Source organism: Homo sapiens, chromosome 8 (genome assembly GCF_000001405.40).
Source record: "Homo sapiens chromosome 8, GRCh38.p14 Primary Assembly".
NCBI classification, from domain to species: Eukaryota; Metazoa; Chordata; class Mammalia; order Primates; family Hominidae; genus Homo; species Homo sapiens.
Window position 1 is genome coordinate 2,029,134 of NC_000008.11, and position 23,246 is coordinate 2,052,379.

The 23,246-nt window shown below is 46.1% G+C and overlaps 1 protein-coding gene across 1 annotated transcript in view, besides 2 other annotated features; it reads left to right on the forward strand.

Annotated features, from left to right (window-relative positions):
* Window positions 1,447-1,651: a silencer, noted in NCBI's record as "fragment chr8:1978746-1978950 (GRCh37/hg19 assembly coordinates)". NCBI's record gives its function as "represses an EF-1alpha promoter that drives an FKBP-Casp9 reporter gene in an ReSE screen in K562 erythroleukemia cells {active_cell/tissue: K562}" and the evidence as "EXISTENCE:reporter gene assay evidence [ECO:0000049][PMID:32094911]".
* Window positions 3,452-9,136: an enhancer, noted in NCBI's record as "VISTA enhancer hs2514". NCBI's record gives its function as "enhancer in: midbrain (mesencephalon)[4/4]" and the evidence as "EXISTENCE:transgenic organism evidence [ECO:0001131][PMID:17130149]".
* MYOM2 (myomesin 2) overlaps window positions 15,913-23,246 on the forward strand; it is a 100,411-nt gene continuing 93,077 nt past the window's right edge. The window contains exons 1-3 of the mRNA NM_003970.4: window positions 15,913-16,035; window positions 21,622-21,740; window positions 23,025-23,180. Of these exons, the coding sequence (NP_003961.3) occupies window positions 21,634-21,740; window positions 23,025-23,180 (263 nt within the window). The 5' untranslated portion in view covers window positions 15,913-16,035; window positions 21,622-21,633. The remainder of the gene's footprint in view (window positions 16,036-21,621; window positions 21,741-23,024; window positions 23,181-23,246) is intronic.

The following is a 23,246-nucleotide window of genomic DNA, read 5'->3' on the forward strand; positions in this document are numbered from 1 at the left end:
GGCTGTCACTTGAAAATATTTTTTGCGACTCACAGAGACTGTCAAGAAGAAGATTGTTGTCATATTCATTTTGTGGGATTTTATTATTTCCTTCTTTTTCAAGCTGATAGTCTTCAGTTCTTGTGTGTGTATGTGTGTGGTGTATTTGTGTGTGTTGTGTATTCATGTATGTGTGCATGCATGTTTCTGTTGTTTATTCATGTGTGCTTGCATGCATGTTTGTGTGTGTTGTATATTCATGTGTGCATGCATGCATGTTTGTGTGTGTGTTGTGTATTTGTCTGTGCACGCATGCAAGTTTGTGTGTATAGTGTATTTGTGTGTCCATGCATGCATGTGTATGCATGTTGTGTATTTGTGAGTGCATGCATTCAAGTTTGTGTGTTGTGTATTTGTGTGTGCATGCATGCATGTTCATGTGGCATATTCATGTGTACATGCATGCATGTTTGTGTGTGCTGTGTATTTGTGCATGCATGCGTGTGTGTTGTGTATTCGTGTGTGTGCATGCATGTTTGTGTGTTTTGTGTTTGTGTGTGCATGCATGGATATTTGTGTGCTGTGTATTCATGTATGCATGCATGCATGTTTGTGTGTGTTGTGTATTCACGTGTGCGTGCATGCATGTTTGTGTGTTGTGTATTCGTGTGTGCATGCTGCATGTTTGTGTGTGTTGTGTATTCACGTGTGCGTGCATGCATGTGTGTGTGTGTTGTGTATTCGTGTGTGTGTGCATGCATGTTTGTGTGAATGTCAGGATTCTCCAGAAAAACAGGACCAACAGGATGTAAAACACAAAACCCAACATAAAAGGAGATTTATCTTAAGGAATAGCTCATGTAATTATGGAGGTGCTGGGTGGGCTGGAGACCCAGGGAAGAGTTGCCATTGAGTCTTCAAGCCGGCCCCTGGCAGAATCCTGGGAGATCAGGCTTTTTGTCTGAAGGCCTTCAGCTGAGTGTGTGAGGCCATCCACACTGTGGAGGGCAATTTGCTTGACCCAAAGCCCATGGATGAAAATGCTAATCACACCTAAAAATGCCTTCATGACAATGTCAAGAATAATGATAATCAAAGATTTCGGTACAGTGGCCTAGCCAAGCTGACACATAAAAATTAACCATCACGATGTGCAGATATCTATAATATATTCTGTGGAGGTAGATAGTCTGTAGATAGATATCTCTGTCTTTATCTGTGTCTTTTAATATTTTTATTGAGATAAAATATATTTACATAATTTATCATCTTTACCATTTTAAGTGTACAGTTCAGTGGTAATAAATACATTTATAGTGCTCTCTGTTTTCATCCACCCCTTTTCAGGTTTTCAAAGCTTATTTTCATCGTAAGCATTGCTGTAAATAACTAGCTTGCCATTACCTATACATATGTTGTTGGTTGGATACCATTACTATGACTAGCTACAGCCAAATTAGGATTAATATAACTTTTTGTTCAACATTGCAAAAGGTTATTGGTATAATGTTATTTACATTTTAAATGTTCTTCTCTCTTCTGTAAAATGCCTCTGAATTTCTTCTTAAAGGAACAGCCATCGCTGGGTTTTTCCCATAGAAGGATGAAGACCGCTCTGACGGTGTGGCGCTCCCTCTAGTGGCTGAGAGTCGCTAACTCACCGGCGAGGCTTCCCAAGGCCGGAGGGCGGCTTCTCAAAAGTTTGTTCCAGAGATGCCTCGTCACCCCTAACACCCTAGTATACAATCCAGGAGGCGAAAACTATTTTGATCATACGGATGAGACCGTGGCTGTATTAAGAATGTGTGTGTAATCCACAGCGGTATAACGAAATTTGGAATATCTGCGTGACTCCAAACTACTATTTTCCAAATGACCGATGCATGATGTTACAAAATCACAAATGGTAAAAGATCCCTTCAAAGTGCAAGAGGGATGAAGATATTTTAATGTAACAGTGTGCAAAGTTCACTAGTGCAATCTCAGATTCCAGATTGCGACGAATCTTTAAGAAATTAGATTTTTAGTGTAGTGAAAAAGGCTATTCACAATTATCTAGAAAGACTACTAAAATTATTCTCTCTTCTTCAACTACACAGCTGCTTGACACAGGTTTTCTTCATGTATTTCGATCCAAAATGGAATCACAGCAGATTAAATGCAAAAGTACCTATCCAGCCATCTTATCTGAAGCCAGACATTAAAGAGATTTGCAAAAAATATAAAAGACTTTCACTCTGCTTATTTTTTCTTTAAAAAAGTTTCTTAAAAAAGTTATTTGTGTTAACCTATAATGGAATCATTATTATTATTTCAAAATGAATTAATAACTAAATATTATAAAACATAAAATCTCTAATGTGGTCAATATAAGTAGATATAACCTACCTAAATACAAGTTTTTTAAAAAAAATCAATAATTTTTAAGGGTGCATAGGGATCCTGAGACCAAAAGTTTGAGCTTTAATCTAAAGAGATAGTATTTGATCATAAGCGAATGATAATAATGTGTAACAGTGAATTTAAAAAACAGGATGATTTGAGTCATATGATTATACATGCTTATATATTGTTGATTTTCAAGAAATTAACATCGTTTCATTTGTACATCCAAAAAGGTAATAGTTGATGCTTACCTCTACTTTTTACAGTATTAACACAGATTTCATTCCTGACTTCACCCCCATCGCTTAACTCAGTTTTTTATTTTCTTGGAAACATCCACATATAGAAATATTGAATGGGCACGCCTGTAATCCCAGCAATTTGAGAGGCTGAGGCAGGCAGATCACTTGAGGTCAGGAGTTCCAGACCAGCCTGGCCAACATAGCGAAACCCCCTCTGTACTAAAAATAGGAAAATTGGCCGGGCACTATAATCCCAGCATTTTGGGAGGCCGAGGTGGGTGGATCACGAGGTCAGGAGTTCGAGACCAGCCTGACCAACATGGTGAAACCCCATCTCTACTAAAAATACAAAGATTAGCCGAGCGTGGTGGCATGCACCTATAATCCCAGCTACTCAGGAGGCTGAGGCAGGAGAATCGCTTGAACCCAGGAGGTGGAGGTTGCAGTGAGTCGAGATTGCACCACTGCACTCCAGCCTAGGTGACAGAGCAAGACTCTGTTTAAAAAAAAAAAAAAAAATTAACTGGGCGTGGTGGTGCATGACTATTATCCCAGCTACTTGGGAGGCTGAGGCTGAGGCTGAAGAATTACTTGAACATAGGAGGCAGAGGGTGCAGTGAGCCGAGATTCCACCATTGCATTCCAGCCTGGGTGACATGAGCGAGACCCTGTCTCAAATATATATATATATATATATATATATATATATATATATATATATATATATATATATGTATATACACACACACACACACACACACACACACACACAGATACATATTTATTGAGTGTGTATTATCTGTCAGTTCCCAGGAACAGTTTTTAACAATAAAAAAAGAATGAGACAGTTTCTGCCTCTCCAGGTGTAGAAATCAACTCTCATTTATTTATGCTTTTGAAAATGATTTGCTCAAGTTTCTGAAATCATTTCTTAATTTAACTCAAGAAGTTCATCTTTTAATTTATGAAGAACTGAGTACTCTGAGGCCATAAGCACAAGCCTGTGCATTTTATATATAATTGAGCAAAATTAAAATTTTATGTAACAAACTTCTCTATTAATTTAGGATGGTTTAACCTTTGATGTATTATCCGTGCATTTTTTCTCAGGGTCCTTTGCCAGTGGCGAAGTCTCTGATATGAAATGTTTAAAGGAAAGTGGCAATGAGAAGCCCACGGTTAGTGAGGCGATTCTGTGAAAACACTGCGTGCCTACAGAAGAAAATAATCAAGTACAGCGCTCTTGGGGAAAACAGGCAAAACCTGAATCTTTACTCAGCTGTTAATCAATCTAGAAGGAAACATGATGGTCTTTTGGGGAAAAAAATGTTATCAGAGGGAGCAACTGCCTTTCAATGTTTCATTTTGTATGGAATATCTCCTAAATGCACATAGTTCTGCAAAATGTACAATATCAACGACTTCCGCACCTGGGCATTAGTTGCGTTGATGCTGCTGATTGTATTAATAATTCGGGTGGCTGTAGGTGCATGCCTGTTGTCCTGCAGTGTTTATTAATCATTTCATTCTCACGTGGTCCCAGCTTGGGTGACAAGTTGTATGGTTCCTAATTGTAGCAGGATCGTGGGATTTGGGGAAGAGCCAGATCTCAGGGACGCCTTTGTCTAGCTCCTCCATTTTCACCCCCTTTCATTTATTTAGTGCCTCGTGCGATGTCACAGAGCTAGTGAGTGCGGCTGGCGAGGACGCATGCTTGGCCGTGGCAACCGCGTGGCACCAACCAGCGCCGAAGGGGCTGGGGGCTGAGTGCAGACCCCGAAGAAGGACTGGCTCCTCGGTGCTGATGGCTGTCCTTCTAAACCAGGGGGGAGTCCAAAAGCTTCAGTGCAGGAGGAAGGCAGTGAGTGTTAGCCCTGACCTGCGCTGAGCCCTGAGAAGAAAGCTTCCTTCGCCCGCGTCCTCCCGCTGGCTGAGTCAGCCAGGACCCTGCTGTGCGAGGTCCATATGGGGCAGGTGCAGCTGCCAACACGGCCAAACTGAAGGTTCGCTCGCACCAGGACCAGTCGTGGGTGAACTCTTTGCACGCTCTTGACGTCAGGTAGCACAGAATCTGGCCTCCTGGGGAAACTGGGGAAACTGGGAAACTGGGGAAACTGGTGGTGTTTGCAGCCTTGCCCTATCTGAGCTCCCAGCTATGGGCAGATACTGTCTCTTTCCAGTCCCAGGATCCTCCTATTCCAGTCCATGTTTACCCAGGAACGAGGCCTCCAGGACACAACGGTGAAGAGAAATAGTAATGACGGGACAGTGGATTCTTGTGACCATTTCTGACTTCTATGTGTTTAAAACGCTTTTGACCTGAGAAACTGGTTTTTGATGTGTCCCCACCAGCCTCACACTGAGCCTGACTGGCAGTGCAGAAGTTGGGAGTATCAGCTACCTGAGGAGGGGTCTGGCTCGGTCACATGCAGAACTGGACTCTGGCCCTACCTGGGCCTCCACCTGGGCCTCCATCTGGGCTCTGGCCCCACCTGGGCCTGCACCTGGGTTTCTGCATCCCCTTCCTCTCCTGGAGGCAACATCACAAAGCCTAGACATCAAGATATTTGAATTTTAGTCCAAACCCTTTAAACGCTCTGCAACGTGACCCCTGCTTTTTGTTTTTGGTTTTTAAACCTGTCTGGGCCTGATTTCCACATTTGCAGGGTGAAGTGAGCGGTTGGGGGTGATGATTTCCTCTGCTCTGCCCAGGTCTGGGATGTCTCTGGGGCTGGCATCCACCTCATCTTGGTCTCTGCCCTCCCAGCTCGCTCTGGAGCCCTGGAGCACGCGATTCACCTCCTGCTCCTCACAAGACTGGGTGGCCCCTGACAGTGAATGGCTCTTACGCCTGACATCTATGTTTGTTTTATTACAAGCGCTCTTCTTCTGAACACACGGCTTGATTGCATTGTTTGAGATTGCTAAGCCTTCAAGCACTTTCAGAACGGAATCCTCCCTGGGGACAGCTCGGTGCCCTCTGGGTCCCGTTTCCTGGATCCTGTTCTGAGCCGGGCAGCTGGTAGCCCTGTTCGTGTGCGTTAAGGCTCGGTTCCCCAGCACAATCATTCAGGATTGAAACGATAGCATAATGGAACTTAGAGAGGATCATCTAATCCCACGCTCACCTTACAGATGAGGAAGCCAGGGGTCGCGGGTAGGTGAAGAGATTTTCCATGGGGCACGAAACTTCAACAACAGATTAGCAAACAGAAAACTAGGCCCAGCGCCAGTGCCCTTGACAACGGGCTCAGGGCAATTTGGCGAGACGGAGCTGGCCCAGCCTTGGTGTGATTACAGAATGCCATTTGGAGATAAACTCCCCAATAGCTGGAGGCCACATGCCACCGCCTCTGAAGATAGAAACCCATCCACAGTCGCTACAGGACGAAAGCCATGCCTTCCCACTGAAAGAAAATGTATTTATTGAGCTTCTACCACGTGCATGGCACTGTTTCAGTCAGAGGGGAGGTGCAAATCTAGACCAGTCGTCATCGAGGCACAAACTTTTGGTCACCTGGGCCGGGTACTTCAGGAGAAAGGCCTCCTGTCTTACAGTGCTAACTCAGCAGACCGGCAGTTTTCACAGCTTTAGAACACAGCCAGGAGGATTGCATTAAGAATGACATTATAACCCTGAATTTTATCAAGATTTAGGAAATTGTGGTTACCTAGACACATGATAAATGACCGAAGTCTCGTACTTTCCTCTCCTTGTGTGCATTAGGTCTTTGTGGACTCAGTGGGAACTGAGAACAATTCCATCCGTACGACGTCCAGATGAACCTTGCTGGTCGGAGAGGAAACTTCTGACCACCCCGAGCTGAGCTTTGTGTTCCTCAGGCCCCGGTGTGTAGTCATGGCACGTCCTATGCCCCCGTGGATGGATACCAGGGGTGTCATGCAAGCAGGTGCTCGTATGTTATCTGCCAGGCACGTAGCCATGGCCTGCTGCCAGGTCTCCTAGGATATGTTTTGATTAACAAAATATGGAAAACTTTGCGCCGTATTATAGAGATGCTGAGTAATGCCCAACCTCCAAGCAATCTAATTGCCTTACTGTTTGGGAAGAATATCGGTTTTATCACCACTAAATGTCTTGTTGCGATTACAGGAGGCAAGTTAGCTAGTTTATTTGGTTGGTTTGTTTAGTAAGCAAGTATTTTTAGTGTATTTTGTGTGCTGGGCTTTGAGTGAAGTCCTGGGACCTCCCTGGTCAGAGGAACCCCCAGTGCTCATGGTCCAGTGGGTGACACAGGCTGGCCAGACATCCCTGCCGTGAACCACACTGCAGACATAAAGGAGGGCTTTGCAGGAAAGAAACCCAGCTCTTAGTGAATCTGCCACAGGGGAGCCTTACCTTGACTGGGGTCAGAAAAGGCATCAGAAATATCGGGGCTTCTGCTGAAGTTTGTACAGGGAGCAGGACCGTGGAATCCGAAGGATGGGAAAGAGCCTGTGCATGGCTGGGGGCTGGTGGAGCAAGGAGCTTAGCTCCACTGACATGCAGAGCGTCGTGAAGACTGGAGTGGGGGCCAGGCCACACAGGGCTTCACATGGTACGTCTGTTGCTTGTTAAAACACGAGTGGCTTTCAGGGGTGTTTGGGTGATGTGCTCTGATCTGCACTCTGAGACATTCTTTTGGGCCTTAGCCTGGGGGATAAGCATGGGTGTGGGGAGCACAGGACCTCAGCCTTAGCCTAAGGATGAGTGTGGTATGGGGGTGCAGGGCCTCAGCCTTATCCTGGGGGATAAGTGGGAGTGGGGGGACTGCAGGCTGTCACAGGACCTGAACGAGACACTGTCAAGTGTGGACGAGTTGGGTGGCAGTGGAGGCTGAGCAAGGTGCATAGTTGTGAGGGGTATTTAGGAGGGAAAATTTTAAAGCTGTGTGGGCCTCAGGGAGGTATCAAAGGTTTCTGGCATGAGCTATTCATGGGTATAAAATACTGGACAAAGAGATCAGGTGGGCTCCTGAGTTTAGTCTTTGACCTGTTGAGTTTAAGTTTCCATTTTATCATTCAAAAGGAGTTGTGAAGGACAGCTCAACGTGAGTGCAGCCTCCCTCTGGAAGCCATCAGGGAGGTGAGAGTAATTAAAGCCATTCCTACACAGCATGTGTTTGGGTCGCCTAGGAAGGAGCAGGGGATTAGACAGGAAGAGTGATTTGAGAAGTGCGTGGGAACAACTTCCATACTTCATGGTGGGCTGAAGGAGACAGAGCCAGCCGAGGGTGGAAGAAGAAAACAGGCAGAGGAAGAAAACAGGAGGAGTGTGGCACGGCGGAGGCTGAGGGAACCGTGCTTCAGGAAGGGGTGCGGGTCAAGTGGACCAACTAGCGGGGAGAGGTCAGGTAACCTGAGAGCTGATAATGTCCTGTGGATTTGGTGACACAGAGGTCACTGGTGGCTTAGAGCTATTTTGGTTAGTGATGTGATATGAGTGGAAGGGAGGTTGGAATAGGGTTAGTGGAAAGTGAAGAAATGGAAAAAATGTGACTATACACAACTCTTTCAAGAACACTGTCTGTGAAAGAGAGAGCAGCAGCTGGAGGAGGAAGTGGGTCTGAGAAAGGATTTTTATTGTTTGTTGTTTTTAAGTTTAGAAGAGACCTGAAAAATGTTCCAATAATGATGGGAAAGGACCCAGTTGAGCAACAGAGCTGCAGTCGTGGGGGACATAGGTGTTAGGGACTGACCGTATCCCCATCCTAAGCACCATGAAGGAGAGGGATCCACAGCTCAGGGATGTCGGCCTCAGGGAGAGAAGGTAGTTGGGGTAATGGGAAGTTGATGGAGCTCGTATGTTTGGCTTTAGTTGACTTTGTGGATTAGGAGAGGAAGTTATTTGCATAAAGTAACAGTGAGTGATTTTTGATTGAAACCTAGACATTTTGGGTATTATGTTAAGAGACTCTGGGTCTTATATATATTATATTTTAATGGGCACCATACTGGCATAGGAAAGAGGTGCTGTCTTATTACTGCAGAAGCATGATCAGGTGGGCTAGAAGTCCAGATTCCCTGATCAGAGGTGTGTGTGTGGCAGGGACACCTTCTTTCTGCTTCTAAGTGTCCACTGATACCACCCGGGCTGCGTTGCTTTCGTTTTTGAAAGAACCTTTTTTTTTTTCTTTGCTGGGTATAGGATTCTAGGTTGACGGTCTTTTCTTTGAGCGCTTAAAAATACTGTGTCACTGTCTTCCTGTTTGCATCATTTCTGATGAGAAGTCTGATGTCATTCTTATCTTTGCTTCTCTATACATACACTCTGTTTCTTTTTCTTGCCCTGTCTTAAGGTTTCCTTTAATCGCTGGCTTTAAGCAATTTGATTATGATGTGACTTGGTGTAGTTTTGTTTATGTTTCTTGAGCTTGATGTTTGTTGAGCCTCTTGTGCCTGCACAGTCATAGTTTTCAGAAAATTTAGAAAAAATGTGGACATTATTTTTTCAACTATTTTCTTTTGTCTGACTTCTTTCTTTGGGGACACTACATGTATATTTGTCTGCTTCATGTTTTCCTCAATGCTCTTCATTCATTCGGTGTTTTTTTTTCTCTTACTATTTTATTTTTTATTTATTTTCATTAGTTGATAAAATAAAATATTAAGAGAAAAAACACTGAATGAATAAAAAATAAAAACATTTTTATTTTCTATTTTTAAGTTCAAGGGTTATCTTGGATATCTTCAGTCTTTTCTTCTGCAATAACATGCTATCGATCCCACCAGTGCATTAAAAAATTCTCAGGCATTATATTTCTCATCTCAAAAAGTTTGATTTGGATCTTTTTAATATCTTCTGTGTCTTTATTTAGTATGTTCAATCTATTCTATGTCTTTTTGAGGGCATGGGACATAGTTATAACTGTTTTAATGTCTTTGTTTACCAAATTTATGGGCATGTTACTATTAATTTTCTCATTATATGTTGCATTTTTCTGGTATGTTTAATTGAATGTCAGATATTGTGAAGTTTAACTTCTTGGTTGCTGGATATTTTTGTATTCCAGAAATATTTTTGAGCTTTACTCTGTAATACAGTGAAGGGTTTTTTTTTTTTTCCAACAGTTTGATTATTTCAAAGCTTGCTTTTAAATGTTTTAGTTGACATGAGATCAGCCTTGAACACAGGGCTGGTTTTGATCCACTACTGAGTCCATGCCCTTTTGAGTATTTTTCAGATATTCCATGAATTTTGAGGTTTTCCTTTCCAGACACTGTGTGCGCTGGGATTATTCCACGCGAGGGAATGTGATCCACAGCATGGGGGTCATATTGGCCTTAGGGAGAAAGGAGAGACAGGAAGTTTTATGAAAACTGTCAAGTTCTTAACTTCATTCGTTGTATTTTTTTTCAGTTCTAGAATTTCTATTTGTGTTTTAATGTTTTCAGAAACACATTCTAGGAGAACATCTGGATGACTTTCTGTATGGCAATGACTTTTTAGATATAACACGAAAGGCACAATTGATGAAATAAGTAATTGATAAGCCAGACATCAATAAAATTAAATATATCTGCTCTACAAAAGACAAGATCAGGAGAATGGGAAGGCAAGCCACAGACTGGAAGAAAATACTTGCAAATATACATCTAATAAAGTACGGCTGCCCGCAGAACTCTTAAATCTCAACAATGAGAAAAGAAACAACCCAATGAAAAAAATGGGCAAAAGGCCTGGACAGACAACTCACCAAAGAATACACACCATTGGCAAATGGAGAGTCTCCCTCGTTTAACATGGCCCCACCTTTCTTGGGGGTCCTAAACCCCAACTCAAGAGCACCAGAAACCCACCAGCAGCTCTTCTTTGCTTTCTCACTACTTTTTGCCTTCTGCTCATGGAGTGCTTTGAGGTGAAACCTGGTGCTGAGATGTGGGCTCTGATCTTTGAGCCTCCCCTCTCTTCAGGATCTTGGCCTTTCAAATCCTGGATGCACTGTCAGGCCCAGACTCCAATTCTTATCTCTCCAGCTTCACAGTATTGCAGGAAGCTCTGCTGTTTCCCCCTGCTTCTCAACAGCGGCACTCTTTCCTCTTCCTTACCTTCAACCCAGCCACAAATCGGCAAGAGCCCAGAGATAGAAAGTGATGTGCAGAGAGAGTGCCCACTTCAGGAAGCACAATTCTCACTAGGACTGGGCCTCGAACCACTGGCTGCTCTCACAGCTCTCTTGTGTATCATCTGTCTGTCTGTGTATCCTGTCTATCTATCTATCACCTATTGATCTATTTCCATCACTGATCTATGTCTATCTTTCATCTCTATCATCACTCTATCACTTTATCATATATTATCTATTTACCTATCATCTATCTTTCTATCACTCTATCATCTATCTATTATCTATCATGTAACTCATATACCATCAATCTCTTTATCAATCAATCTATCTAACCTATCATCATCATCATCTGTCTGTCTATTCATCTGCCCATCAGCTTATATGTCCATTCACCTATCTGTTTTTCTCTCTTTCTTTCATTACTCTTTTGCCATCTCTCACACTCTGTATTTTATCTGGATTGTTACTTGTTCTGGGTAAGAATGTTGTCCTACTAGAAGCAACTTTATCACACATAAAAGTGAAAGTCTACTTCAGACATCTCATGTCTTATATATTACCCACTACATAGAGTTATAGTATTAAGACTTGCTGGTACTCTGAGACATAGTAAATGCTTGATAAATATTAATTTAAATGTATTTAAAAGTATATATATTTTAAAGTGTCTATATCTATATCTATCTATATCAATATCTATCTATCTTTCTATCTATCTATCTATCTATCTACCATATATATTTTTGAGCTGAGGTAAAGAATTACTAAATATAGCCTAGCTTTGTCAATTCTGTATATTTCTGTTTAGTTCTGAGCCACTATTAACTATTATACTTAACAATAGTAAGTTCTTCATGTCTCTTGAATCCATTCATTGGGCAGTTAGTTCAGAACTCCTTTATTAAGCACAGAGAATGTGCTAAGTTTGGAGAGAAGAAGCCCACACTTTGGTGGCTGCTGTGGCAAGAGTGTCTGGGGAAGAGTAAGATGGTGTAGTTGGGGAAATCTTTACTCAGAAATTGATGTGTAGTTATAATAATATTGGCCTCAAAAGAGATAGCAGGTAAACTTACTAAGGACTATAAAATAAAGTCAAAATTTTGCAGAAAAGAAAAAAAAAGCAAAGGAAACCTAAGCATTTATTTTCCTACTTTCCTGGAAAATGATTCAGAAATGCTGGAAACATTGGGAATTTGTGCGATTCATGTCGCTAAAGGGTTCCTCATTACTGAGCTGCTGCTTTCTGTGGACACGTGTTTAACTGACTTAATGAAATGTTAGAAGGAAGGCGCTTCCTCTGAATGTCAGCGACCTATTTCATCAATTAGTGGATTAAGCATGGCCTCAAAGAGACATCTATTGAACTTCTTGGAAATTAAGAAGGTGACAATTGTATTTCTCTAAACAAGGTTACTCTCACAATCAACATTTTCAGAAGGTTCACATTTAAACATTACAGTTAATTCATCTAAGTGGATGTGATTTTCTTGAGGTTTAAATTCTAAATACAGAACTGCACAACCATAAATAGGAACAAAGACATTCTAAAGGCAGAAAAAAGGAACAAGGTTGGGTATGGTGGCTCACGCTTGTAATCCCAGCACTTTGGGAGACCGAGATGGGTGGGTCACTTGAGGACAGGAGTTCGAGACCAGCCTGTTCACCAATATGGTGAAACCTTGTCTCTACTAAAAATACCAAAAATATATATATATATATATATATATATATATATATATATATATATATATATATATATCCGGGCCTGGTGGCACACACTTGTAATACCAGCTACTTGGGAGGCTGAGGTGGGAGGCTCACTTGAACCCAAGAGTCGGAGGTTACCACTGCACTCCAGCCTGGGCGACAGAGCCAGACGCCATCTCAATCAATCAGTCATCAGTCAATAAAAATAAAGAAAAAAACTCTTTTCTTTAAAGTGGGGCTGTTTTCTGAGATTCAGGTTTTCAGGATTTGGGAATGAGAGGCAGTGCTGATGGGGGCTGATGCCCTCAAGGGAGTTTTCTGCCTCCAGATTTTCCAGTCTCCCTTCTGCGGCCTGTGCACACGTGCTCTGTGGGGACCAGACGCCTTTGTTGTTGGCCTCATCACCCCCTGGTTTGGGAGAGCACGGAGGGTGACCCCCTGCCCCTCCCTGTGCTGTGGCTGCAACTGCGAAGCCTCTTTCTGGTGAGCTGTCATCCTTTGAATCATAAAACTGAATATTTGGCCTGTTGGATGGATAATTTCTAAAATACATGGGATGGATAATTTCTAAAATACATGGATAATTTCTAAAATAATTTCTAAAAAACAGAAAATTTGTTTTCTGAGACGGAATGCATGGAAGTGAACAAAATATCTTAAGAATAATTTTATTTCTTTCAAATATCCAAACTGATTTTCCTGAATCGAATGTCAGTTTTGGCTCTGTGCAATATAACAGGGGTCCTGAACCCCAGCCTCGGGGTCCGTGGCCGGTGAGGAGCTGGGCCGCATGGCGCGGTGAATGGCGGCCACTGAGTATTCTCGCCGGAGCTCCAGCTCCTCTCAGAGCCGCGGCCTTAGATTCTCACAGGAATACAAACCCTACTGTGACCTGCACACGCGAGGGATCTAGGCTGGACGCTCCTTATGAGAATCTTATGCCTGATGATCCGAGGTGGAGCAGTTTCATCCCAAAACTATCCCCCTCTCCACCGTTCTTGGAAAAATTGTCTTCCACGAAACCGGTCCTTGTTGCCAAAACAGTTGGGGATTGTTGCTGTATAGAACATAACTTCACCCATGAATGGTCTGGCCTGGGGTTCCACAGGATTGAAGGCACGTGGTTTTAGAATGTCACTCTTTGCATTTCGATCTTCTTTTCTATGTTGTGGGAAATCCTCAGTGAGGCCAACTGTTTTCCATTCACAGGCTGCCAATTTGAGCTGTGGAAATGAGATTGCTGGACTCTTCCTTTGTCTTAGTCAGGATTCTCTTGATGGCCGATGATAGAAAGTCAGCCCAAGGAACTCCGGCAAGAAGGAGCCTGTCTGCCCCAGAGCTGGTGTGTCTGGTGGAGAATGCGGGGCCCATGCCTGGTCCCACCGCCTCCCTCCGTCTTTTGTCCCTTCTTGGCTCCAGGCTTCCTGCAGGTGCACCTCACCCAGGGAGTTTTGGAAGCTACATCCCGGGTGGGCAGGGGCAGGCATGGCTCAGGGAGATGGGGGTCTACGAGGAGGGTGGGGAGGGGTCTCCTGTCCCCAGCAGAAGGCGAAGCTCTGTCCCCATCAGGAGCCTATCTGTGTCCCGGGTCACACTCTGCTCTCTGGGTGGTGTGGCTGAAAGATCCAGGCTTTCTTAGACGCAGCACTGGATTTCTATATCACAGAAGGAGGGCACAGCCACCGTGAAATGTCAGAAAAGGAGGAGGAGTGTGCTGGCCCTTCCTTCTCTCAGGAGAGGCCCCTCCCCGGGATGAGATTGTCCCCTCCTGAGATGCTAGGACTGGGACCCAGGCGACTGAGATGCCAGGACTGGGACTCAGAGGACTGAGATGCCACCTGAGGGGACGAGGCACCATCACTGCCCCTCCAGTGTCGGCCACACTCAGAGGCAGGGGGGCAGAAGGGCTGAAGGGAAGTCCCCCAGGTCCCTGAGAAATGGATTCGCTAGAGAAGGAGATGCTGATAAACCGGAAGTAAACATTGCTTGCTCTGGTCTTGCTGTTTGCAACCCCCCCAAAATATGTGGGTTAAAACCCTAACCCCCAAAACGATGGTGTGAGGAGGTGGGGCCTTAGGGAAGTGACAAGGTCATGGAGGTGGAACCTCCCGAGTGGGATCAGTATCCTCATACAGAGGCCCCAAGAGCGGCCTGGCCCCTTGACTTGGTGAGGACTCAGGGACCGCGCCGTCCCAGAACCAGAAGGCTCTCCCCAGGCAGTGTCTGCTGGTACCTGGATCTTGGACTTCCAGTCCCCAGAACTGTGGGAAAGAAGCTCCTGTGTTTTATAAGCTACACGGTCTATGGTGTTTTGCTAAAGCAGCCTGAATAGACTAAGAAATCACTCAACAAACACTAATTAAATTAAATGCTAGGCCATCAGAATACGAAGGGGAAGAAGACAGAAACACTCGCCTCCTGATCCAGCATCCAGAACGCTCTGGGGCCCAGCAAGAGGCTGTGCTCGCGTCTTTCTCGTATCTGATCTTCGCCTCCATCCACCTGCTCGCTGGTCCTTGGCTGTGCCTCTGATACCCCAGTGTGAGAACGTGGAGTTTCTTAAGGCAATTCTCTTATCATATTTTCTCTACTTGTCACAACAAACTTACAGGAAAGTTGTTATTCCATGCGTTTTAGAGCTGGGGAGCATAGCCCCCGTGGGCTGAGCAGCTGGCCGAAGTCCTCAGCCCCTGTGGTGAGGTGCAGCTGGAGTGTGATTCTCCGGGTCCTCAGATGGGGGCATCCCCTTGAGGCCCCGCCTCTTGGCCAGGCTGCAGCCCAGGACCGTGCCAGGTGTGTGTTATCTATATTTGGACACACGCTGTGCGAAACGACGGGCACCCTGCAATTATCCGTGTGGTGTAGACGCAGTGTACGTCTGTGGTAATGGCTATAAATAAGCCCCGACTTGCCGACTAGGCACCGCTCCTCTTTTGGGTAGGCAGTTCTTGCTAAAATAGCCCTAAGATACAATCGAGTGAAGACCTGAGTCGTTCTTGAAATAAAAAAAAAAAAACGAACAAACACACGAACATGCACACACACGCTCACAAACCCAGGGGCTTGTGCACCTCCCTCCCTCCACAGCCGACCTCAACTCGGGTGTCCAGGCCTGCGAATGGCACAAATGCTCACTGAAATCCATGTCATTATTAAAGACTCATTCAGGAGTTGCAATTTGTGAGCCAGGGAACCTGTAGCTCGAAAGGATTGAAGATATGTCTGAGAATTCACACGTAAGGATTAGAACTCATGGAGGAGAGTTGCGGGGAGGGAGCGTGGGAAGTCAGTGCCCTGCCCTCTCTTTCTGGGTCGGGGGCTGAAGTGTCACACCCGGTTTCCTGGGAAAAGTGCAGTTTGGGACTCAGAAAGGACACGTTCCAGTTTTGAATCGTGATTTCCCCCGCCCTCAGTTTGAACAAGAAGCTTTTCCTCCTGAGGTCAGGCTGGTGATTTACGATGTGGGTATTGATGTGGGGAGAGGCAGGCCCAGGCGTCTATATATAGTAGCTCCTCAGACCTTAAACGGGAGGGAGGCACAGGCGCTTGCTTTGCAGGAGTCAGCTCTGCCTTCCTCGGCTGGAGTGTGGGTGGCTTGGTGAGCCGGTGGTCAGGAATTCTCTCTCCTCCTTGCAATTTTCCTTTCTGTCTGGGTAAGTGTCTTTCTCTTCTTGCCTTTTCTAATTTGTGGCTTTAAGGGGAGGACCGGTAACTTCTGCACTCACATTTTCTAAGTACCTCTACTTCAGGGTCAAGAAGAGAGAGCCAGTGCACCCCGTCGCAGGCACCCTTTACTGTGGAAAACAGAGCAATTAGTTCTGGGATCTGTATTTCTTTGACGAGGTTTTATGCTCAACTAACATTTTATTTCCCACAGCCGTGGTCTTTGCTAAGTGCCGTTTAGCACCCTGCGGCGTGTGCTTTGGGTTTTAGCCCTGGTCTCATCGTGGCCCCAGGGGGCCCCCCAGTCAGTGGACTGATGTCTGCAAGTTTCATGAGATTCTCAGAAACGAAAGCCTCCCCCGAGGAGAGGGCTGACTTATAAAGGTGTGAAATAATAAAACTGGATATTTTCTTAAGGGAAAAAAGAGTCGAGGGTCATTCAGCTTAGACCTAGCCTATATTATCCACGGTATGGGAAAGAGAACAATCCTTGTCAGGACTTGCAAGTTTTTGCCCAAAAATGACAGCGTTCTTACGGCTGTTTTCTTCTTTGTGCTGTTGGGTGTGTTGTGACCCTTCAGACTTCTTCAGCTCCACTCCGCTGATAGAGGCTGTGCCTTCTCAGGGCGTGCTCTTGAAATGCAACCTGCTGGAGAAAGACAGTGGGGCTGGGTGGTTGCACGTGGAAGGCACCGGAGGCAAACGGAAGGAAGGGGTTTGCCATCACTGGGAACACCTGGCCTTTTCTAATTCTCCATTTCACATTCCTTTCTTACTAAGTAGAAGTAAAACAGGACTCAAAGAAAGCGTGGAACAAAGATAATTTAAGGCGTTATTTAATAAACCAAGTCCCAAGCTAAAACTTGTCTTGGGAGCCAAGGGCTTAGCCACTTGTGGCACAGGCCAACGCTGCGTGTCTGGGAGTCCCTTTCCCCTCTAGAAAGCTTTAATTTGGTGTATTTATTGACTTTGACATTTTTAACTGTACAAACAATTTCCTTCATTAAGTGGAAGTCAATGTTTTGTACTTCAAACATTTTTGCAAATTAAAACCCATCCTGGTGACATGAGGAATGGGCTCCACACGTTGTTTGCAGGAAGGAATTAGGATGGGGATATCAGACACGTGGTCCCCTGCACTGGAGGAGAGGCTCGCGTTTCATCCTGGTGTCATGATTCCTAAACGTGTCAGGAGCATTCCGGGAGTGGCCGGGGAGCTGGGCTGTGGTGGAAAGTGGGCTGGACGCTGTCAGGAGAGTCAGCTGGCGCCTGGGTTCGGCCGTGGCCCTACCGGTGACCCGGGCAAGTCATATTTCCCTGGGGACGGTCTGTGCTAACAGTACAGCGTGGCGCCAGGATTATCTACACACAGGCTGTCCAAGCTGGGGGACTGTTAGCTGCCACCTCACTCAGCCCCCTGTTTTACAGCAGAGCAGGTGGAGGCCCCTGAGCTGAAGGTCAGCAGGTCCCCACTGGAGTCTCAGCCTCCCAATGCGCCTGAGCCCCAGGGACTCACATCAAAAACTACCCTGCGAGGAAAAGCTGCTTTCTTTCTCTCTCTCTTTCTTTTTTCTTTTTTTTTTTTTTGGTTGGTGTGTGTAGGGGGTATTTAACACATGTCTGAGATAGTTCCTTAAAAAGGAAAACAGCTTTCTATGTAGACAGTAGAGGGACATTGGGGAGCTGATCGGCCCAGGTCCTGTCATTTTCTTTATAGTGTCATAAATAGTACAGGTTGATCATTCCAAATCTGAAGATCAGAAATCCAGAATGCTCTAAATTCTGAAACTTTGTGAGCGCTGGTATGACTCTCAAAGGAAATGCTTACATGAGCATCTCAAGTATCCAATTTCTGGATTTGAGTTGCTCAACCAGTAAGTATAAATGCAAGTATTCCACAGTCTGAAAAACAAATCGGGAATTGGAAACTCTTCTGGTCCAAGCATTTTGGATAAGGGATGCTCCACCTGTAGGGTGCATTTGGCAAGTCCTCTCCAGGGTTCCCTCCACTCAGAAGGGCCCTGTGCTGCCAGGGCTGCAGGCACCCAGCACGTGCTGAGTCAGTGGGGATTTGCTTGCAAAGACGTCATCACACCCGGCCAGGAGGTGGTGGCCCAGGCTGGGTGAGGGACACTGGGGAAGTTCTAACATAGGAAGTCCCCCAAGGAGTGAAGAGATTGCGGAGGGGACACACATTCAGGGTGGGTGAGGCTGGACGTGCAGTCCTGCTGGTTTTCTGGGTTGGGCATGTGATTGATAAAAGTGGAGTTGAGGGCACATTGGCACTGGGAGTCAAATGCGCAGAAGACTTGAGCTTGCTACTCTCCCGAGCCAGGAGCTCTAAGGTGTTTTCATTGTTGAAATCCAAGGGTTCTGATTTAGGCTTGGCTGGCACGTTGCAAGTGACCCCATACTTGTGGAATCAACTGAGGCTGATGGATTCTGCAAAGCCTCTGACACCTCCTGATTTTGGTGGTCCTGAGCATGAAGTGAGCAGGGAATACATGTGGGGATAAACGTGGCAAAGTGCCCTGTTACCCCCATCCAAAGACTTCCCGGGGAGACTTCCACAGTAAGGTACCATTGGAGTGAGGATTGCAGGAAGTGTGCACACGTGATCCCAGCTCTGCCTTGCTAAGCACTACAAAGTGTAGCCCCTCACACATGAAGTGTTTGAAGACTTCCAGGCCCACAGGACCGGATGTCACGTCAGTGATACATAGGTTGCATTGGACAGGACGTTACAGACTGGTTGAAGGATAGCTAGTCTGTGAGCTCTCAAGACCTGAGCCGTTTCACATTCTTCCAGGTCTTAGGTCTAAGGAGGAGGATTTCCATCCAGGGCGATTCTCCTCTTATTTCAATGTAGCTCATTCTCTCCTTTGACCTAATAGGTCACATTTTGACTCTTCCCTTTACCAAGAAATACAAACACATCTGAGGTTTAACTCAACATAAGTGTAAGTAGATACTGTGATGACACATGAGCCCCTGCTGCAATAGCAGGTACTGGGGATTGCTCATGCGTCTGCTGGAGTGGAATTGCCTGGTATTCGTCAGGCTGATCCCAGAAGAACCTTGGATAGGAAACCGGATGGAAGCTGAAACGTCTTCCCCAACCTTGGTCCAACTTCATTTCAGTGAGCTCTTCCCAGCACCCTGCTGGTGAACTCCAGAGAGAGTAAATGGGTTTCTGAGCAGGAAGCGTTTCTTGAAGATCCACCTTGATTAACTCATTGGAAAATCCCAGTGAGCTGCATCTGGGGAGATTTCAAATAGTGAAGCAATACATAGATTTTCTCAGATACCTTTTCCTGTCTGCAGAATTCTTGAACCATGATAACAGCAGCAGCATAACAGAGACAGCAACCGATTTCGGTACCAGGGCCAGGGCCAGGCATGATGCAGATTCAATATGGAACGCCAGAGCTAGAGGAGCTAGAAGCTACCCCAGGCCTCATCAGAATGCTGGAGTCAGAATTCGATCCCAGGTCTACCAGACATCAAAACCTGGGCGCTTGACCTCTGCACTATGATACTGCCTTCAATATCAGGGCGGGTGGAGGAGATATGCTTTTATTTATTTATTTATTTATTTTATTTTTTATTTTTATTTTATTTTTTTTTTTGAGATGGAGTCTCGCTCTGTCACCCAGGCTGGAATGCAGTGGCGCGATCTCGGCTCACTGCAAGCTCCGCCTCCCAGGTTCACGCCATTCTCCTGCCTCAGCCTCCCGAGTAGCTGGGACTACAGGGGACCCCCACCATTCTGGCTAATTTTTTGTATTTTTTTTAGTAGAGACGGGGTTTCACCATCTTAGCCAGGGTAGTCTCAATCTCCTGACCTCGTGATCCACCCGCCTTGGCCTCCCAAAGTGCTGGGTTTACAGGTGTGAGCTACTGCGCCCGGCTGCTTTTATTGTGTTCTATGAGGTGCAACGTTCCGTTATATCCCTGGAGTAGAATGCATGCTGGTGCACTCTAAAACACGGCTGGGCCCTCCCAGGGTGGGGTGGTTGGTCGACTAGTTGGGTTTTAAGAGGCAATATTGAGAGAGTTAGTGTGGCAGTGTGAAAGGCCCAGAATAAGGATGGCCTTGGGGCAGGGGTAGCCTCTTCTACATGCTTTTGGGGAAGAATTTCTCCTTTCTGGCCCTCGTGTCCTGTTTTCTTCCCTGTAGAATAGGAGTTTGGGTAATCGCTAGTGATCTTTCCAAGTTCTACAATACTGTGATTCTCGGAGATTACAGAGTTCAAAGGAAACAGCTCATAAGGAGCAATTTATGTACTGTGGTAGGTTTTCTAGCACGTACCCTGGAGATCTGAACTATGACAAATTCATCTCCGAGCAGCCCTTGGCATTTTCCACCCAAGTCTCATACCCATGGCCCGGGATGTGGGTGGCACCCCTGGGGCTGTGCCATGGGGCCTGGCCTAGGAGTTCTGTCTTTAAATAAGGACAGATCCTCGTCATTTAAACAGAAAAGTAAAAAATGGAGCTCAGGTTGTGAGTCCTTTTGCACCTTGTTTGGGAAATTAATGACTGCAGAGATTTAGGAATACGGTCCCTACGTAACTTTGCCGTGATGATCAAGTCACTCAGCACGTTGGCATTTTACGTGTTTTGGGTGAACATGTACAGCAGATTGCCATGTCTAATACCTGTAATGCTGCAAGTTCCCAGAGAAAAAGATGGAACTCGCTCATCTCCTGTTTGGGGAGAATTTCATCCACACTCTCGAATTTCCCCACATCCCTGAGGCTTTCATGCCAGGCTCTGTCCTCACTTTTCCTGCTCACCTCCTGCTACGCCTGTCTACCGTAACCAGTGAGACTTCAGACGGCAGATTCCAGGGGGCATCTCCAGCCAGTCCCTTTTTCCACATCCCCCTTTGCATGGTGGAGAGACTGCCCGTTCCCCAGGCAGACACCCGCCACCTCCGCTTGTGGCTGCGTCTTTCCAGAGTGATTTCTGGTCACACCCACCCCTGCAAGTCTCCCATGATCCTGGATTCTCCTGCCCGACCTTTGCTTATGGGCTGCCCTCCTTTCCCACCTCCGCCTGGCAGTCCCACCTGTCCACCGAGCCTCCTCTCAAATGTCACCTGCCTCGTGGGCCACTCGGCCGTCCTGGCCTCCTGCCATTCCCAGGACACCTTCTACCTGCCCCGGGCTCTTGGCTCTTATCGTATGTTCTCTTGTATTCTAAGTGTTTGTTTACTTCTCTAATCTGCTTTAATTATTTTTGTACTTCCCACTTATATTGCTTTGAACTTTGCCCTGAACACACCAGGGGTTCTAGGAATACTTGTTGAGTTCACAATGAAATGAAACAGCAGCCCAATCTTCCAACTGTTGTGGAAGAAAACAAAAAATAAAGTTGGGTCCCTGGGAAGTTAATAGGCTTCCTGACTGCTGGTCTAAGGTGATTTCTGGCCATGTAATCTTTCATTTTTTCCCTTCCCAAGGGGGTTTTATTAACTGGAGTTCATTTTCCCCTTTGGAATGATGCAGAAATGGCAGAGGCCTCATGATGCTTGCGAGGGAGCTCAGTGTTGTGTGTGACTCTCTTTGTAGGAGCACGCCAAGATGTCCCTTGTGACTGTCCCCTTCTACCAGAAGAGACATAGGCACTTCGACCAGTCCTACCGTAATATTCAAACACGGTACCTGCTGGACGAATATGCGTCAAAAAAGTAAGCTGACATTCGCTGATGAGACGCGCAGAGCTTTGATTATGGGGGTCTGACATTTAAAGGCTTTTCCAGTTCCGTCAGCCCTGGAGAGGCACTGGTTTGCAGGGAGTCAGAGAGCAGAGATGGCAGCCTCTCCCGTGCCCAGGTCCTGCCACGGAGCAGCACTCTGTGGAGCTGGCGTAGTGTTCTGGCAGGTCCTGCTGGCCGAGTTCAGCTCCTGATCGAGGTGGGGAGGCAGGAAGTCCTTTGTATGAGCTCGTTGATTTTACTGCTCATCACATGCCTTCCAGAACTAGGATCTAAAAAGCCACCCAAAATAAAAAGCAATGAGATTGAAACTGGTGGGAAAGGCTGTCGGTAGGAGAGAAGTTAATGGGTGGCAGAGTAAAGACAGAATGGGAGGCAATATTAGTGATTTGGCTACATCGATCATGGATGTGCCGAGATCAAGAATCCCTGCCTCTGGGGCTGGTGTGCACCTGCATCTTCCGGAAGCTTCTCGGGGATGGCCTCATACAGGATGGCAGCTCACGCCCCCATGGACACTGTTTGTGTAGCAGCAAATCTGCAATCTTAATGGGCTGATTGGAAGGCTGTGGTGAAGGGAGGGAGGGACCGCGGGCAGGCGTTCTGCAGCCCAGGTGCCTGCCTCATGTCACCCACACCCTATGTTTAGAAACGCTTAGGGTACTTTTATTTAGTTGCCATCCCTTGTGCCAAACAAAGCCAAACATTTGCAGCCCCTCCCAGCAGCCTTGGGGTGTCTCAAATCCCTCAAGATATATATAATCCTGGCGTGGAGCCAGAAAGACTGTGGCCGGCACTGGCTGGCTCTGAAGGGAGGTGGCACCAGCCACAGTGAGCTCAGGGAGAAAGCACCCCAGGGCGGGCATGTGCGGGGTATGGGTGTGGGCACACAGGGACACAGGCTTGGGTTTGCCTGTGTGCAAGTGTGTGTACACTTGTGTAGGTTTGTTTATGTGTGCACGCGCTGTGTGTATGCATGTGCATGTGCTTGTGGGAAGGCGTGTCCTTGCATTTATGCATTTATTTGCATACACATGTGTACGCATGTATTGTATGTGCATATGCATGCATGTGTGTGCATGTGTGCATATATGTGTGTAGGTGCATGCCTCTCATATGCCTGTGCATGTGTGTGTTTGTGTGTGCTCTGCATATACCAGTGGTTTGGGGTGTGTAGAGAGAAAGTGATGTGTGTCAGGATAAATTTCCATACTGTGCCTGAGCATGCATCTCCTAATCGTGTCCATGTTCCTGAAGGCGAGCTTCCACCCAGGCATCTTCCCAGAAGTCCTTGAGTCAGCGGTCGTCTTCACAGAGAGCCTCCAGCCAGACGTCCCTGGGAGGAACCATCTGCAGGGTCTGTGCGAAGCGAGTGAGCACGCAGGAAGATGAGGAGCAGGAGAACAGAAGCAGGTGAGCACATGGCTTCCCTGACTCCACTTGTGCCCTGCGTGGGGTCACAGTGGAGGGACAGTGGGG